This window comes from Homo sapiens, chromosome 1 (genome assembly GCF_000001405.40).
Source record: "Homo sapiens chromosome 1, GRCh38.p14 Primary Assembly".
Lineage (NCBI taxonomy): Eukaryota > Metazoa > Chordata > Mammalia > Primates > Hominidae > Homo > Homo sapiens.
This window is the reverse complement of record NC_000001.11, coordinates 52,189,749-52,207,728: the sequence shown is the minus strand read 5'-3', so window position 1 is coordinate 52,207,728 and position 17,980 is coordinate 52,189,749. Positions and strand designations below refer to the sequence as shown.

Genomic DNA, 17,980 nt, shown 5'->3' with positions numbered 1-17,980 from the left:
CTTAAGTGATCAACTCAAGTCTGAGCAATGAAACAGAAAACTAGGAACGAAAAAGTAACCTGATGTTCAACTTTCTGAAGAGGCTAAGTAAATTTGATCCTAAAAAGACACCCTTTGAATATGAACACCCTTACAGTGGCAGAAAAAAGAAATGAAATAAGCTCTGAAAAGAGCTTTATTCCTGCAGATCAAGACCAAAATACATTAAGAGAATAGGATCTGGGAAGCTGACATTGTTGCTTCCCCACATTCACACAGGGCTTCAATTTCCAGCATATCCATCTGGCATCTTTCACAAACATCAAATTCCCAGTCAAGAGCTATAAAGAACAAGGTGAGTGTTTTCACCTAGTTCACACCAAACAAAAAGCAGAGTAGTTTAACAAATATTGGAAAATGTGATAACAGACGTATCAAATATACATAGGCATTGAAATCGCTAGAACAGCAACTGATCTGCGATTGGGACTAAAAGAAGGAGCATGCTTAATTCTCACGTCTGGAGTAATCAGACTCAAAATGACATAAATTTGTATATACATGTCATAGGGACAGAAACTACTGAGATATACAACATCCCTGTGATGGTTAATTTTACATGTCAACTTGACTGGGACAAGGAATGCCTAAACATTTGATTAAATATTATTTCTGGGTGTGTCTGGGAGAATGTTTCCAGAAGAGATAAGCATTTGAATGGAACTGAGTACACCGGATTGCCCTCCCCATGATATAAATACATGCCTACATACATATATATAATTCTCTCTGTGTGTGTACACACATAATGAGACTTATCAAATGAAACTGACTCACAAAATTATGGAGGCTGACATATCTCATGATTTACTGTCTGCAAGCTAGAAACCTCTATCTCCGGGCCGCGCACAGTGGTTTGTGCCTGTAATCCCATCACTTTGGGAGGCCGAGGTGGGCAGATCACCTGAGGTCAGGAGTTCGAGAAGAGCCTGGCCAACATGGCGAAACCCCGTCTCTGCTAAAAATACAAAAATTAGCCAGGTGTGGTGGCAGGCACCTGTAGTCCCAGCTACTCAGGAGGCTGAGGCATGAAAATGCTTGAACCTGGGAGGTGGAGGTTGCAGTGAGCCGAGCCGAGATCATGCCACTGCACTCCAGCCTGGGTGACACCACGAGACTGTCTCAAAAAACAAAACAAAACAAAACAACAACAACAACAAAACAGAAACCTCTATCTCCTTCTGGTTCTGTTTCTCTGGAGAAACTAAAGTGGTATATAAATTGTTTATCCATGACTGAAATATTAATTAATACCATATTAGCCAAAGTCTGTATCTCCAATTTTGAGATGTTAGACATCTCTTGGATTATCTTTGCCAACAGAATTATAGAACTGTCTACCACCACGCCATACACACATATACTTTCATCACAAGATAAAACGCCATATTCAGGGAAAACCTATCCACCTAACCAGTTTATTAGCCTGGTGTGAGCTCCTAACCAGTTTATTAGCCTGGTGTGAGCTCCTGATCTAAGTTGAATGAATTACAGACCCTTCTATGCTATGCCTGAAAGATACAGCTACAATAGCTGCCTTTGGATTCTGTGAGATATTGTCATATCCTTATAACTGTTATTTTTTTTTCTAACTTAGCTCCAGTGGATTGCCTTAACCTGCAACAAGAATCTTAACAAATATATCCCAATAGTATGATATAAATTGAGGCAAATGGCATCAAAATCAGTTTCAACTTTAATTGGGCACCTATACCTTCAAAGATCAGACCCTAAACTGAGATATTCTATGTTCTACAAGTAGATAATAAACAAGGGATAAATTCATGGAAAGAGGGATGGGTCTTATATTTCGGATCATTCTAGGTGGCAATCTAACAGGGAGATATAATTTGTATACCACAAATTGTGTGAACCAAGAGTAACAACAAGAGTATACATAGACTTCCAGTTTCTAGTGCAGCATTTAAGTAGCTTGGAAGTCACTATTCTATCCGAACAACAAAGTAAAAAAACTGAAATATCAACAACTCTTCTTAGATGCATAAAAGAAGTGAGGTGGCCAGGCATGGTGGTTCACACCTGTAACCCAGTGCTCTGGGAGGCCAAGGCAGGAAGGCTGCTTGAGGCCAGGAGTTTGAGGCTAGTCTGGGCAACATAGCGAGACCCAGTCTCTATTTAAAAAAAAAAAAAAAATTTAATTAGCCAGGCATGGTGGTGCACACTTGTAGACCTAGCTACTCAGGAGACTGAGACAGAAGGATCGCTTGAGCCCAGAGTTCAAGGTTATAGTGAGTTACCACTGCACTCCAGACTCGGCAACAGAGTGAAACCCCATCTCTTAAAAAAAAACAAAAAGCTGGGTTTGGTGGCTTCACCCTGTAGTCCCAACACCCTGGGAAGCTGAGGTGGTCAGACAGCTTAAGCTCAGAAGTTCAAGATCAGCTTGGGCCACTTTGCAAAACCCTATCGCTACAAAAAATACAAAAATAGGCCAGGTGTGGTGGTGCACGGCTGTAGTCGCAGCTACTTGGGGAACTGAGGTGGGAAGATTGCTTGAGCCCAGGAGGGCGAGGCTGCAGTGAACCCAGATCATGCCACCGCACTCCAGCCTGGGCGACAGAATGAGGTCCTGTCTTCAAAAAAAAAAAAAAAAAAAAAAAATTCACAGCACAAACCCTGACCCAAATTCGAAGGGACAGACAGGTGAATACAAAAAAAGTCACAAATTACCTAAGCAGAAACCCACAAGCAGGAACCTCTGTGGGAACCAGATGTCGGGCAGAAAAGCTTGAATTATAATTGACAAATTGCTAGAGGCTTAGTGTGGACAACTCTGCGAGTTAAAAACTTCAAGGGGACTCCCACACTTTCGTGGGAAGCTTGACCTAGATCTCACAGCATCAAGGGGGAAATCCCCTCATTCTTCTGGCAGGGAAAGGGGAAAGGGAACCATTTTGAAATAAGCCAGAGCATTCTACTCTTTTTTCTTTTCTTTTTTTTTTGAGACAGGGTCTCGCTCTGTTGTCCAGGCTGGAGTGCAGTGGCGAGATCTCAGCTCACTGCAACCTTCACCTCCTGGGTTCAAGTGATCCTCCCACCTCAGCCTCTTGAGTAGCTGGGATTACAGGCACACGCAACCATGCCCAGCTAATTTTTGTATTTTTAGCAGAGACGGGGTTTCACCATTTTGGCCAGGCTGGTCTTGAACTCCTGACCTCAAGTGGTCTGCCCACCTCAGCCTCCCAAAGTGCTGGGATTAGCAGGCATGTGCCACCCCAGCCTAAGAGCATTCTATTCTTAATACGGTCTGCCCTCAGCAGAAACTATTTGACGAAAGCCTAACCTGCTGGGGTTATATCAGAGCCTAACTGACCTGGGGAAAGGAAACACCCAGCTCCAGCCCATTCTTGCTATCCTGTCCCCTCTAAACAGGGGAGAAAACTGAGAAGCACTTGTGAAGTTCACAGTCCAGGGGCAGAGGCTTGCTAAAAGACTGAGACTTAATCGTAGAACTATAGAATGCTCCCCTTCCCCCAACAGCTTATCACATTACTAAAGGCCTATTTTCAGCAGTTCCTCTTACTCAATATATCATGTCCAGCTATCAAGAAAAGATTACAAGGCATAAGGTTAAAAAAAAAAAAAAGTTTGAGGAGAAAGAGCAAACATCAGAACTAGATTCAGATATAGCAGAGATGCTAGAATTATCAGACCAGGAATTTAAAACAACTATAATTAATATGCTAAGGGCTATAACGGGTAGACAGCGTGCAAGAACAGATGGGCAATGAAAGTATAGAAAAATTCTAAGAAAGAACCAAAAAGAAATGCTAGAGATCAAAAACACGATAACAGAAATGAAGAATGCCTTTGATAGGCTTATTTAGGAGACAGGACATGACTGAGGAAAGAATCTCTAGTTTGAGGATATCTCAACAGAAACCTCCAAACCTGAAAAGCAAAGTGAAATAATAATAATAATAATAATAGAACAAAATACTCAAGAACTGTGGAACAACTACAAAGGGTGTAACATACGTGTAATAAGAATACCAGAAGGAAAAGAGAAAAAAATACTTGTAACTAAAATGACTGAAAATTTCCCCCAAATTAATGCCACGTACCAATTCCCAGATACAGAAAGTTCAGAGAACACCAAGCATGAAAAATGCCAAAAAAAACCTATACATAGTTATATTCAAACTATAGAAAATAAAAAAAAATTTTTTTAATCTCTTAAAAAAAAAAAAAAAAAAAAAAAGACGGGTCTGTAACCCCACCACTTTGGGAGGCCGAGGCAGGTGGATCATTTGAGGTCAGGAGTTCAAGACCAGACTGGCCAACATAGTGAAACCCCGTCTCTACTAAAAATACAAAAATTAGCCGGACGGTAGTGGCGCAAGCCTGTAATCCCAGCTACTTGGGAGCCTAATGCAGGAGTATCACTTGAGCCTGGGAGGTGGAGGTTGAGGTTAACCGAGATCAGGCCACTGCACTCCAGTCTGGGCAAAAGAGTGAGACACTGTCTTAAAAAAACAAAACAAAACAAAAAAACACTATACCTACGGAGGAGTAAAGAAAAGAATTACAACTAATTTATCCTAAGAAACCTAAACAAGGAGAAAGAGGAGTGAAGAAACCATATAAGCAAGAAGAAAGAGAAAAAAAAGACCAACCTAAAAATCTGTACCCCTATAAAATTGTCCTTCAAAAGTGAAGGAGATTATATTAATAATCACTTTGGGCTGTGCGCGGTGGCTCACGCCTGTAATCCCAGCACTTTGGGAGGCCAAGATGGGGGGATCACCTAAGGTCAGGAGTTCGAGACCAACCTGGCCCATGTGGCGAAACCCTGTCTCTACTAAAAATACAAAAATTAGCCAGGCATGGTGGTGCATGCCTGTAATTCCAGCTACTCAGGAGGCTGAGGCATGAGAATTGCTTGAACCTGGGAGGCGGAGGTTGCAGTGAGCCAAGATCGTGCCACTGCACTCCAGCCTGGGTGACAGAGTAAGACTTCATCTCAAAAAAATAAATAAATGAATACATAAAATAATTTTTTTTAAAAAAATTGCTTTGAAGGTCAATGGTCTAAATGCACCAATGAAAAGACACAGACTGTCGGAATGCATCAATAAATAAGACCTGGGCCAGGCACAGTGGCTCATGCCTGTAATTCTAGCACTTTGGGAGGCTGAGGCAGGTGGATCACTTGAGGCCAGGAGTTCAAGACCAGACTGGCCAACATAGTGAAACCCCGTCTCTACTAAAAATACAAAAATTAGCCGGACGGTAGTGGCGCAAGCCTGTAATCCCAGCTACTTGGGAGCCTAATGCAGGAGAATCATTTGAGCCTGGGAGGTGGAGGTTGAGGTTAACCGAGATCAGGCCACTGCACTCCAGTCTGGGCAAAAGAGTGAGACACTGTCTTAAAAAAACAAAACAAAACAAAAAAACACTATACCTACGGAGGAGTAAAGAAAAGAATTACAACTAATTTATCCTAAGAAACCTAAACAAGGAGAAAGAGGAGTGAAGAAACCATATAAGCAGGAAGAAAGAGGAAAAAAAGACCAACCTAAAAATCTGTACCCCTATAAAATTGTCCTTCAAAAGTGAAGGAGATTATATCAATAATCACTTTGGGCTGTGTGCGGTGGCTCACGCCTGTAATCCCAGCACTTTGGGAGGCCAAGATGGGGGGATCACCTAAGGTCAGGAGTTCGAGACCAACCTGGCCCATGTGGCGAAACCCTGTCTCTACTAAAAATACAAAAATTAGCCAGGCATGGTGGTGCATGCCTGTAATTCCAGCTACTCAGGAGGCTGAGGCATGAGAATTGCTTGAACCTGGGAGGCGGAGGTTGCAGTGAGCCAAGATCGTGCCACTGCACTCCAGCCTGGGTGACAGAGTAAGACTTCATCTCAAAAAAATAAATAAATAAATACATAAAATAATTTTTTTTTTAAAAATTGCTTTGAAGGTCAATGGTCTAAATGCACCAATGAAAAGACACAGACTGTCGGAATGCATCAATAAATAAGACCTGGGCCAGGCACAGTGGCTCATGCCTGTAATTCTAGCACTTTGGGAGGCTGAGGCAGGTGGATCACTTGAGGCCAGGAGTTCAAGACCAGCCTGGCCAACAGAGTGAAACCCTGTCTCTACTAAAAATACAACAAAATTAGCTGGGCATGGTGGCACACACCTGCAATCCCAGCTACTTGGGAGGCTGAGGCAGGAGAATGGCATGAACCCAGGGGGCAGAGCTTGCAGTGAGCCGAGATTGCGCCACTGCACTCCAGCCTGGAGACAGAGCAAGACTCTGTCTCAAAAAAAAAAAAAAAAAAAAATTACCAAAAACCCTCCAGGAATAAGTGACTATAGCAGGGTTACAGGATACAAGGTTAATATATAAAAGCCAATTACTTTCCTGTATACCACTGATGAATAAGTTGAAGTTAAAATTAAAAACACAATTTACATTAGCACCAAAATAAACAAAATACTTCTATATAAATATAACACAATATGTTCAAGATCTATATGAAAAAACAACAGAACTCTGATAAACACTATAAAAGAACCAAATAAATGAAAAGATATTCCATGTTCACGAACAGAAAGACTTAATATTGTCAAGATGTCATTTCTTCCTGACTTGATCTACAGATTCAACACAATCCCAGTCAAAATCCCAGAAAGTTATTTTATAAACATTGACAAATTGATCCTAAAATTTATATGGAGGAGAAAGACCCAGAATAACCAACACATTATTGACAGAGAAGAACAAAGTTAGAAGCCTAACACTACCCTACTTCAAGATATACTGTAATCAAGACAGTGTCAAATTGGTGATAGACAAATAAATCTATAAAACAGAATAGAGAGGCCAGAAAAAGACACACACAAATATAGTCAGCTGATCTTTGACAAAAAAGCAAAAGCAATACAATGGATCAGAGATAGTATTTTTACAAATGGTACTGGAACTAGACATCCAACATATAAAAAAAGATAAATCTAGACACAGACCCCTATACCTTTCACAGGAGTTAACTCAAAATGAATCAGAAAACTAAATATAAAACACAAAACTATTAAACTGCTAGAAGATAACAGTAGAAAATCTAGATGACCTTTGATTTGGCAATGACTTTTTAGACACAATACCAAAGGAATGATCTATGAAAACAAGAATTGATAAGGTGCACCTTCACTAAAATTAAAAATTTCTGCTCTGTGGCCAGGCACAGTGGCTTACATCTGTAATCCCAACACTTTGGGAGGCCAAAGTGGGTGGATCGCTTGAGCTCAGGAGTTCAACACCAGCATGGGCAACATGACAAAACCCTGTCTCTACAAAAAAAATATAAAAATTAGCCAGGCATGGTAGTATGTGCCTATAGTCCCAGCTACTCAGGAGACTGAGGTGGAAGAATGGTTTGAGCCTGGGAGGTCAAGGCTGCAGTGAGCTGTGATTGCACCACTGCACTCCAGCCTGGGTGACAGAGTGAGAGCCTGTCTAAAAAAAATAAAAAATAAAAAATAAAAATTCTGCTCTGCAAATGACACTGTTAAGAGGATGAAAAGACAAGCCACAGACTGGGAGAACATACTTGAAAAAGATTTATCTGATAAAGGTCTATTATCCAAAATGTACAAAGAACTTTTAAAACAATAATAAAAAAAAAAAAACTGGATCAAAAAACAGGCCAAAGACCTGTACAGACACTTCACCAAAGAAGGTACACAGATGGCAAACAGGCATTATGATAAGATACTCCACATTATTTGTTATAAGGAAAACACAAATTAAAATAACTATGAGATTCCACCACACACCTATTAGAATGGCCAAAATCAGAAACACTGACACCACCAAATGCTAGAGAGGATGTGGGTGCAACAGGGACTCTCATTCATTGTTGTGAGGATGCAAAATGGTACAGCCACTTTGGAAGACAGTTTGGCTGTTTCTTACAAAACTAAATATACTCTTAAAATATGATCCAGCAATCGTGCTCCTCAGTATTTACACAAAGGAGCTGAAAACATGTCCACACAAAAACCTGCACATAGATGTTTATAGCAGCTTTATTCATAATTGCCAAACTTAGAAGCAACTAAGATGTCCTTCAGTAGGTGAATGGTAGGTAAATAAAAGCTGTGGTACATCCATACAATAGATTCAGCACTAGAAAGAAGTGAGCTATTAAGCCACAAAAAGATATGGAAGAACCTTAAAGGCACATTTCTAAGTGAAAGAAGCCAATCTCAAAAGGCTACGTACTGTATGATTCCAAGTATGTGACGTTCTGGAAAAGTCGAAACTACAGAAATAGTAAAAAGATCCGTGATTGGCCAGGTACGGTGGCTCACTCCTGTAATCCCAGCACTTCGGGAAGCCGAGGCGGGTGGATCACGAGGTCAGGAGATCAAAACCATCCTAACACGGTGAAACTCCGTCTCTACTAAAAAAAATACAAAAAATTAGCCGGGCGTAGTGGCAGCGCCTATAGTCCCAGCTACTCGGGAGGCTGAGGCAGAAGAATGGCATGAACCCGGGAGGCGGAGCTTGCAGTGAGTCGAGATCGCGCCACAGCACTCCAGCCTGAGTGACAGAGCAAGATTCCATCTCAAAAAAAAAAAAGATCCGTGATTGTCAAAGACTAGGGGAGAGGAATGAATCGGCAGAGCAAAAAGATTTTTAAGGTGTTAAAACCACTCTGTATTATATCATTATGATAAATGACAACATTAAACATATGTCCAAACCCATAAAATATACAACACCATTGAGTAAACCCCAATGTAAATAATAATCTTTGGGTGATAATGATGTATCCATGTAGGTTCTTAAACTGAAACAATTGTGGAGGATATTGATAATGGCGGAGGCTATACGTGGGTGAGGGCAGGAGGTACACAGGAAATCTCTATTTTCCTCTCAATTTTGCTGTGAACTTGAAGTTGCTCTAAAAAACAAAGTCTACTAAAAAAGACAGAGTGTATATATAAAGCAGCGTTATGAATCACTACTGATCCAGTCAATGCAAGTGATATATTTCACTTACAAAGTACCAATTGGAAAACTAGCCAAATTGGTAGGTTCACAAAATCATATAGCCTAACACTTGCAGTAAAATTAGATCCTATGTATGCTCCTATCTTGACAACTCTTTGCGAGCATTTAGGGCATTGTTTCTAACTTTTAACCACATCAAATTTGAAAAGAACATAACCTGAATTGTCTCAGTCAAAGCTCAGGACAACAGTTAGATGAAACAAATCCATGCTCAAATTACTTATATTAAAGAACACTACAGGCTGGGCACAGTAGCCCATGCCTGTAAGGGAGGTCGAGGCAGGTGGATCACCTGACCTCAGGAGTTCGAGACCAGCGAAACCCCACATCTACTAAAAATACAAAAATTTTCTGAGCGTGGTGGTTGGGTGCCTGTAATCCTAGCTACTGTGGAGGCTGAGGCAGGAGAATCGCTTGAACCCGGGAGGCAGAGGTTGTAGTGAGCCGAGATAGCATCACTGAACTCCAGTTTGGGTGACAGAGTGAGACTCCATCTCAAAAAAAAAAAAAAACAAACAAAAAAAAACACTACAATATTATTTAATGACAACCCAAAGAAAATCTCTGCCTATAGGTGCTCTTCCAGTTTGGCTCCCTTTTCTTCCAAAGTCTTTACCACCTCCATTCGAATGACTCAGATTTCTATAAACATCACCTCTCACTCAAATTCTGAGGCCACAGCTTCACCTATCTGATATGAAATAGTTCTCCATCTGGTTGTTCCACTACACCTCAAATTTCAAACAGTGAACCCTTCACATTCAAGAGGAATATTTTCTCAAGAGAGTTGTCTACTTTCTGTGCATCCTCCTCTCCACCTTCTACTTATGCTCTCACTCTTCTCTGGCTTCCCCACCATTCTTGTTTCAAGTCACTGATAACTTCCATATTGTTAAAACTAATGGACACTTTTTGGTCCTAACTTCATCTGACATTTTAGCAACATTCAATTATTAGATCACATCCTCCTCCTTTATGAAACTCTTCTTCCATGACTTGTGTGATACTACAAATTCTTACTTTCTTCTATTTTTTTTTGACATCTATCTCTCATCTTCATCCCTGACTCCTCCTCTTCTACCCAATCTTAAATGTTGAAATTCCTCAGAGTTCTGTACTCAGTCCTCTTCTTTTCTCAATTTATACTGTTTTCCAAGAGAATTGTATCTACTATGATTGCTTCAAACACCATCTGTTAAGAAATTCCAATTTAAAAGAGTGACCTCTTTTCTGGGTTCTAAAGCTATACATCTAAGTGCCTACTCAATGTCTCCATGCTCCACACACATCTCAACACATACATCTATTTTCATACTAATCAATGTTTTCTTCTCTATTCTCTATATCATCTACCCAGTTGTTCACGCTATAGTAATTCTCTATCACTCCCTCTCCCCATAATGCTCACAATCAACATTAAATCATGTTCTCATTTAATGAAAACCAATTTACTTTTCTGTCTACAACTACTACCTTCATCCAAGCTACTATTATCTCACATCTGGATTACTGAAATACTATCTTCAATAATATTCTTATATCTACTTCTGCCTCCTCCTCCTCCAATCCATTCTCCATTCAGCTGTTAAACTTATATTTTGAAAGATCTATTCAAGTGATTCTTCTACCTGAAATTCTTCAATTGTTTGATATTAAATATATCTTGATAATAAAATTAAATATAATATCAAGACTCCTTACTAAGACCTTATGAGGTCTGGCACAATTTTAACACTTGCCTACCTCTCCAGTTTATACTTTTGTCACTTTCTTTTTTGCTTACTTCTCTACATCTACACTGACATCTTATTCCTCAAGAGTATCATGTTCTTTCCCACCTCTGATTCTTTATCCATGTGAATAAATGCTGAGATTTTATAAATTTACAAGTTAATAAATACCACTAAAAAATTTCTCCTATTAAATGCTATACAATTAATAATCAATCCTTCCAGGCTTTATTGATGTTTATCATGACCTCCAATTTACCAATTTTTTCTGAGACCGGGTCTTGCTCTGCTGCCCAGGCTAGAGTGCAATGGTGTGATCTTGGCTCACTGCAACCTCTGCCTCCTGGGTTCAAGCGATTCTCCTGCCTCAGCCTCCCGAGTAGCTGGGACTACAGGCACCCACCACCACACCTGGCTAATTTTTTGTATTTTTAGTAGAGACGGAGTTTCACCATGTTGGCCAGGATGGTCTTGAACTCCTGGCCTCAAGTGATCCACCCACCTTGGCCTCCCAAAGTGTTGGGATTACAGGCGTGAGCCCGGCCAACTTACCAATTTTTATAATGTGTTGATCTTCACACTCTTGACTTCTCTATCATTTCCATCAAGACTCCTTAAAAGAACCACTGTAAAATTTTCACTTCAACATTTAGCACATTCTAAATATGTGACAGAGCACTCACTGTTTGAGAGCTTTTGTAACATGGCATATGGTAAGATTTACTGGCCAGTAGTGTACAAGTCTACCAAGTTAGAGCTCAATGACAAACAATGTATGGGAGCACCCAGATTGTGGACAAATATAAGACTATACTGGCCGGGCACGGTGGCTCACGCCTGTAATCCCAGCACTTTGGGAGGCCAAGGTAGGCGGATCACGAGGTCAGGAGTTCGAGACCAGCCTGGCCAACATGGTGAAACCCCATCTCTACTAAAAAATACAAAAATTAGCTGGACTTGCTGCCGCGAACCTATAGTCCCGGCTACTCGGGAGGCTGAGGCAGGAGAATTGCTTGAACCCATGATGCGGAGGCTGCAGTGTGCTGAGATCGGGCCACTGCACTCCAGCCTGGGCGACAGAGTGAGACTCTGCCTTGGAGGGAAAAAAAAAAAAGACTATACTGAAACAGACTTCATGTATCTTTTAATGCTATTGCATTTATCAAAAACTTTCATAAACTAGTTAATACATTAATACTCTGTGTCCAAAATAAAAATAAAAAACACTCTGTGTCTATTTTGCAGAAAAGAAGAGAGGGAATAATAATATTTATTGACCACTTACTATGTACCAGACACTCTTCCAAGTGCTTTTTAGGTATTAAACTTTTACTTTTCTTTACAATCCTAAATAGTGGGTATAATTAGGCCCTCCAAGATGTATACTACAAGAGGGCAGAGATCTTCTCTTAATGCTCTTTGTTGCATTGCTGGCACCCAGAACAGTGTCTGGGATATATAGTAAGCAGTCAAATATTTGTTGAATGGATAATGAAGAAATGGAGGCAAAAAGAATTTAAGTGACTTGCACAAGGTCACACACAGTGACACAGCCAGAATTTGAATCTAGGCAATCTGGTTTCACGTCTCAGATTCTTAACCACTAGGTATGTATATATTTGGAAACAACATTCCTCCTTTACCTCTTTTCACCCTTTAGAAATATTTTCAGTGTAAAAAATGCTTCCATGAGCTAGAAGCTGTGCTCACTGTTTTGCAAAGAAAAGAGAAAGAGAAAAAGGAAAAGAAAAAATATAGTTTAATAACATATAAACACTATAGTATATCTGAATTTATTAATACTCCCACTACAGATGCAGTAAGCACTACAGAGCAGGGAGAGAGGTATAGGTTAACAGGTTACTACCATGGATTTTAAAAATACATACATGTCTATTGTTATATATTATTATAATATATTCATACATGCTATTTAGCATAGCATTATAATCAATCAGCACTACACAGTGCAGTATTAAATAAGTCATGCATGTACATCTAGACTTGCTGTCTTTTTAAATAGCTGAATAGCATTCCATTAAATAGACATATAATACTACAATTTAGCTCTTATCCCTATCAATAAGCCTTTAGATTGCTTCCATGTTTTTATGCTTATCAACAATATAATGAATATCCTTGTACCTGTATCTTTACCCTTTAACGTGCAATAAATATCTAAAAGCAAAGTTTGAGAGAAAGGTAGTGCACATTTTAAATTTTAATAAATACTGCCAAGTTTTCCACCAAACATGCTGTTTGTTTTTATTTCCTCAAATGGGTATATACAAGAATTTTTTCTTCATGCTCTAATCATTATTGAATAAAATCAATCTTTTACCAATCTCACAGGTAGTAAATGGAACTTTATTTTCTAATTTGTATTTTTCATTATGAATAAAAGCTAAACATCTATTTATATCTTTCATATGTTTATTGGCCTTTCTGCAAACTGCCTACAAATATTCCTTATATGTATCATGTTTAGAATCTTAGTCTCAGTTTAATGTTTGAGTGAGGTTTTTTTTTATATGAAGGTCTTCCATTTTATGTAGTCAAATTCACCAATCTTCATTTTTGGCTTCTGTATTTCATATCATGCTTAGAAAAAGCCTTTTTTATACCAATATTATGAACACATTAGCCTATGTTTTCTATGCTATTTTCATGTTGCTTTTGTTTGCTTCGCTCTTTCATCATCTAGAATCTATTTTGGTGGGGAAGGCTCTATAACTTGTTTTTCTCACTCAATGATATATCCTAGATATCTTTCCAGATAAACTACTTTGTTTGTTTTTGAGATGGAGTCTGGCTCTGTCGCCCAGACTGGAGTGCAGTGCCACGATCTCAGCTCACTGCAACCTTCGCTTCCTAGGTTCAAGAAATTCTCGTGCCTCAGCCGCCCGAGAAGCTGGGATTACAACTACTTTAATTGTACACATAGAATTCTAAAATATAACCATATCATAATTTTCCTGTTATTTATCAGTTATATAAAGCACGAATAAGCATTTACATTTTCCCCTATTTTTCAACGATTACCAAGAATGCTCCCATTAACACCCTTGTATATGCCTCCTTGGACACATGTGTGTGTGTGCGCGCGTGCGTGTGTGTTTGAAGATAAACATTAAGACATTAAGATGCACAATTACTGAGTCATTAGTGTGTATCTTTTTTTTTTTTTTTTTTTTTTTTTGAGACAGAGTTTTGCTCTTGTTGCCCAGACTTGAGTGTAGTGGCACGATCTCGGCTCACTGCAACCTCCTTCTTCCCGGTTCAAGCAATTCTCCTGCCTCAACCTCCTGAGTGGCTAGGATTACAGGCGCCTGCAACCATGCCCAGCTAATTTTTGTATTTTTAGTAGAGACGGGGTTTCACCATGTTGGCCAGGCTGGTCTCGATCTCCTGACCTCAGGTGATCCACCTGCCTTGGCCTCCCAAAATGCTGGGATTACAGACATGAGCCACCACACCCGGCCATGTGTATCCTTTTTTTTTTTTTTTTTTTTTGATACTGACAAATTACCCTCCAAAATGATGTGCCTAATATGCTTTTGTTTTAAAATTAATTACCTGTATCCATTCACTCAACAGGTATTTAAATGTTTTCTTTCTGTTAGGCACTGTTCTAGAGGCTGGGTACACAGCATAATAGCCAACCCAGACAAGGGCACTACTCTGGTGATGAAGAGTGCAGGCTTTAAACTGTGCTGGGTAGTCCCAGGTACTCAGGAGGCTGACGCAGGAGGACTGTTTGAGCCCAGAAGTTGGAGTCCAGCCTAGGCAACAACAAAAAAGAGTGCAGGCTCTAGACACTGACTGCCTGAGTTCAAATGGGGGTTCAATAAGCATGAGATGTCTGACCTTGGACATCTATTCTTGTGCCTCAAGTCCCTTATCAATAAAACAGTAATAATAATAATAGTACCTATCTCATAGGATTGCTGTGGATTGTTCTGCCTACAGTTTAGAAAGTACTCAAAGATTTCTTATTACTTAAATTTGCTATTACTATTATTTTTGCCAATGAGAGGCAGAAATAATGTTTCATTATGGGATCATCATTTTCCTGATAAAAAGTAAGACTGAACATATATTTTTACTTTTTTAGCCTTTTGAATTTCCCATTCGATGACCTCCTGTTCAAATTCTTTGTCCATTTTTTTCTGTTATGATGTTTGCATTTTTCCTTAATGATCTGTCAGAGTCTTTACATATCCTGTGCATTAATCCTTTGACTGTTAAATATGATGCAAATATTTTCTAGTATGACACCTATGCTCTGACCCATGGGCTGTCAGGTTTTGTTTGTGGCCAAATCACAAGGATGGCAGAATTGACTACTGTTTTGCCAAGAGAATTTCAAGTCCTGCTCTCTACTTTAAAAGGTTTGTAATTACTTAGATTTAAGGGAAGGAGGTAGCAAATACCCTCTAAGCAACTGACAGTATAAGCCAAAGGCTTAGGAGCAATTTCTAACTTATCTACTCTTGTCTCCTAAATACCTGGTACACGGTCTTATACATAATAGACTCCGGATGAACAAGCATGTTTGAATGCAGCAGAATCTCCTTACTAGGTTACACACTTCTTATGGGTAATGATGGTGTCAAACTTACCTTGGTATCACTCCCACAATGCCTAAAAGTGCTTTTACACAGAAAAAGCACTCAAATGTTTTTATAGGATAGATTGCCATCTCTGAACATACATGAAAGTAGCCAAAGTAATCAATGTAAAACAAAGCAATCCCCTCCTCTAAGATTACACCCTGATTTGCAGTGGCAGGTAGCTCTGCACAGAGTCTGATGTTTGGGTATCTTCCTCTTAAATTCACTGTGTTTCAGGTGCTTGTTCTAGAAAAAAAAAAAAGCCCCTGCCAATTACTGTGTCCTAAGCCTGTCTAGATGCTGTTAAGACCATGTCCATTTAATATTTTTCATGTTTTAGTCTCTCTCCAAATTTCTTCTCACTACCATTATTTAACAATAAGTCCATTTCAGCACACTAGACACAGCTTTTGGGTCTCTGGATTTTATTCTTTTCCCACATACCATTCCCTGGTTGAGCTCTCCTTTGCTAAGTGCCGCTAGACTGGTTTCTTTCCAGGATATCACTCTTGGTGATCTAGCCTTACAGTTTCATGAGAAATCACGAGACAATGTGGTGTAATGGAAAAAGTGCAGGATTGTTGGAGCCAAATGATCTGGGTTTGTGTACTGGTTCAGCCATTTACTAACTATATGACCTGAATAACCCTAAGTATCAGTTTCCCTACTTTCAAATGGGGATAATATCTAACCCATCTGGGTCATAGGACTGTGGTAAGGATTAGAAAATTAGATGACAATGCAGAAATACTTCATAAAGAATTCTACAAATATATGTCATTATATGAAATATGGCTCAAAGAAGTATCAGTAAAAGGACTCCACCAGACAAGTCACTTCATGAGGGCAAGTGTCTGACTGGGTCATGGCTGCATCTTCAAAGCCTGGCATATTTGTTGAAAGAATGACAGAATGAAAAGAGAACTTTTCAGTGACCTTAGCCAAATTAATAAATCTCTGGGCTCTGGGTTTCAATTCCCTCATTTGTAAAGTAAGAACACTATCTCCCACCTCAAAATATTGCTATGAAGATTAAAAGGAAATAATATTCATTGACCGGGCATGGTGGCTCACGCCTGTAATTCCAGCACCTTGGGAGGCCAAAGCAGGTGGACTGCTTGAGTCCAGGAGTTCAAGACCAGCCTGGGCAACATGGTGAAACCCTGACTCTACAAAAAAATACAAAAATTAGCCAGGCATGGTGGCATGCATTTATAGTCCCACCCACTGGAGGCGTTAGGGGGCTAAGGCAGGAAGATCACTTGAGCCACGGAGGTTGAAGCTGCAGTGAGCTGGGATCATGCCACTGTACTACAGCTGAAGGAAGGAAGGAAGGAAGGGAGGGAGGAAGGGAATGAATATCCATAAAATATAATAGATATTTATCTATTTGCTTCTTCCTGTCAAGCCAGATATAGTTTAAGACTTGGTTGTATAAAAAGTAGATGCTATTAATAGTTACTGACACAAATTCTTCTAGGGAAAGTCAAGAAATATTACTATCTTCTACCCTTTAATCTCAATAAAAATTAATATACTGACAAAGTGATTTAAGTACTTTATCTCAGCCATGTTTAAAGTGCTGCAGTTCACTGTGACTCACATACACACAGACCCTTATAATGAACCACAGCCCCAATGAAGTCAAGAGCCTTCTCAGAGACAAGTGCTTCTTTATGTAATCCAGACATGACAATCTACTATTGATGAAACTGAAAATCTTTTAAGCATCTAATCCATATCAAAACAAGCTCCACTTATTGGTCACAGCACATGAGACAGAAACATTGTTTTATTTAGTCATCAACAGTATTAACATACAGAGAATCTAATCCATATTGTGCATAATTTTGATGCACAATAAAATTAAAACCAAAGCACCTAACGGAACCCCAAAGTACACTAAGCATAAACTGACAGAACTGAAGTGAGAAATAGACAATTCAACAGTAACAGTTGAAGCTTTGCCACATCCACTGCAAGAATGAAAACAATTCTCAGCAATCAGGCTATTGACATTCCAGAAAATGTCAACATCATTCTGAAGAAACATACAGGTATTATGAAGGAACCCAGAGGTACCCTGCAGAGGGACATCAACGTAAAACACAATCTTATTGGAAACAAAAAGTAGCAGCTCCAAGTTGATAAGTGGTAGAAAAATGGGAACTGGCTACCGTTTGCACTTTTTGTAGTCATGTACAGAACATGATCACGGGTGTTATACTGGGCTTACGAAATGAGGTCTATATATACTCACTTCTCATCAACATAGTTATCCAAGAGAATGGGTCTCAAAATTCAAATTTTCTTGGGTGAAAAATACATCTGCAGGTTTCAGAAGAGGCCAGGTGTTGCCTGTTTAGTATCCCAAGCCCAGGATACTAACACAATTCCATAAGGAAAGAACATTTTTCAACAAATGGTGTTGGATGTTCACATGCGCAAGAATAAAGTTGGACCTACCTCACACCATATACAAAAATTAACTCAAAATGGATAAGAGATCCAAATATAAGAGCTAAAACTCTTCAAAGAAAACATA

The 17,980-nt window shown here is 39.4% G+C and overlaps 1 protein-coding gene and 1 pseudogene across 5 annotated transcripts in view, besides 1 other annotated feature; one reads left to right on the top strand and one right to left on the bottom strand.

Annotated features, from left to right (window-relative positions):
- The window catches only part of ZFYVE9 (zinc finger FYVE-type containing 9), a 204,546-nt gene that overhangs the window by 138,906 nt on the left and 47,660 nt on the right, over window positions 1–17,980 (bottom strand). Inside the window, exon 1 of one of the 5 annotated variants that reach the window (XM_047434682.1) lies at window positions 8,298–8,414. The exons of 2 other annotated variants lie outside the window; for them this stretch is intronic. The gene's annotated coding sequence lies outside the window, so the exon portion shown is untranslated. Of the gene's footprint in view, window positions 1–8,297; window positions 8,415–17,980 lie in introns of those variants that run through there. 2 more of the 5 variants (XM_047434674.1, XM_011542437.3) reach the window with 2 other exon arrangements.
- Window positions 9,646–9,846: a silencer, noted in NCBI's record as "peak225 fragment used in MPRA reporter construct". NCBI's record gives its function as "represses an SCP1 promoter by STARR-seq MPRAs in K562 erythroleukemia cells {active_cell/tissue: K562}" and the evidence as "EXISTENCE:reporter gene assay evidence [ECO:0000049][PMID:32103011]".
- Window positions 17,420–17,824, top strand: RPL9P12 (ribosomal protein L9 pseudogene 12; annotated as a pseudogene).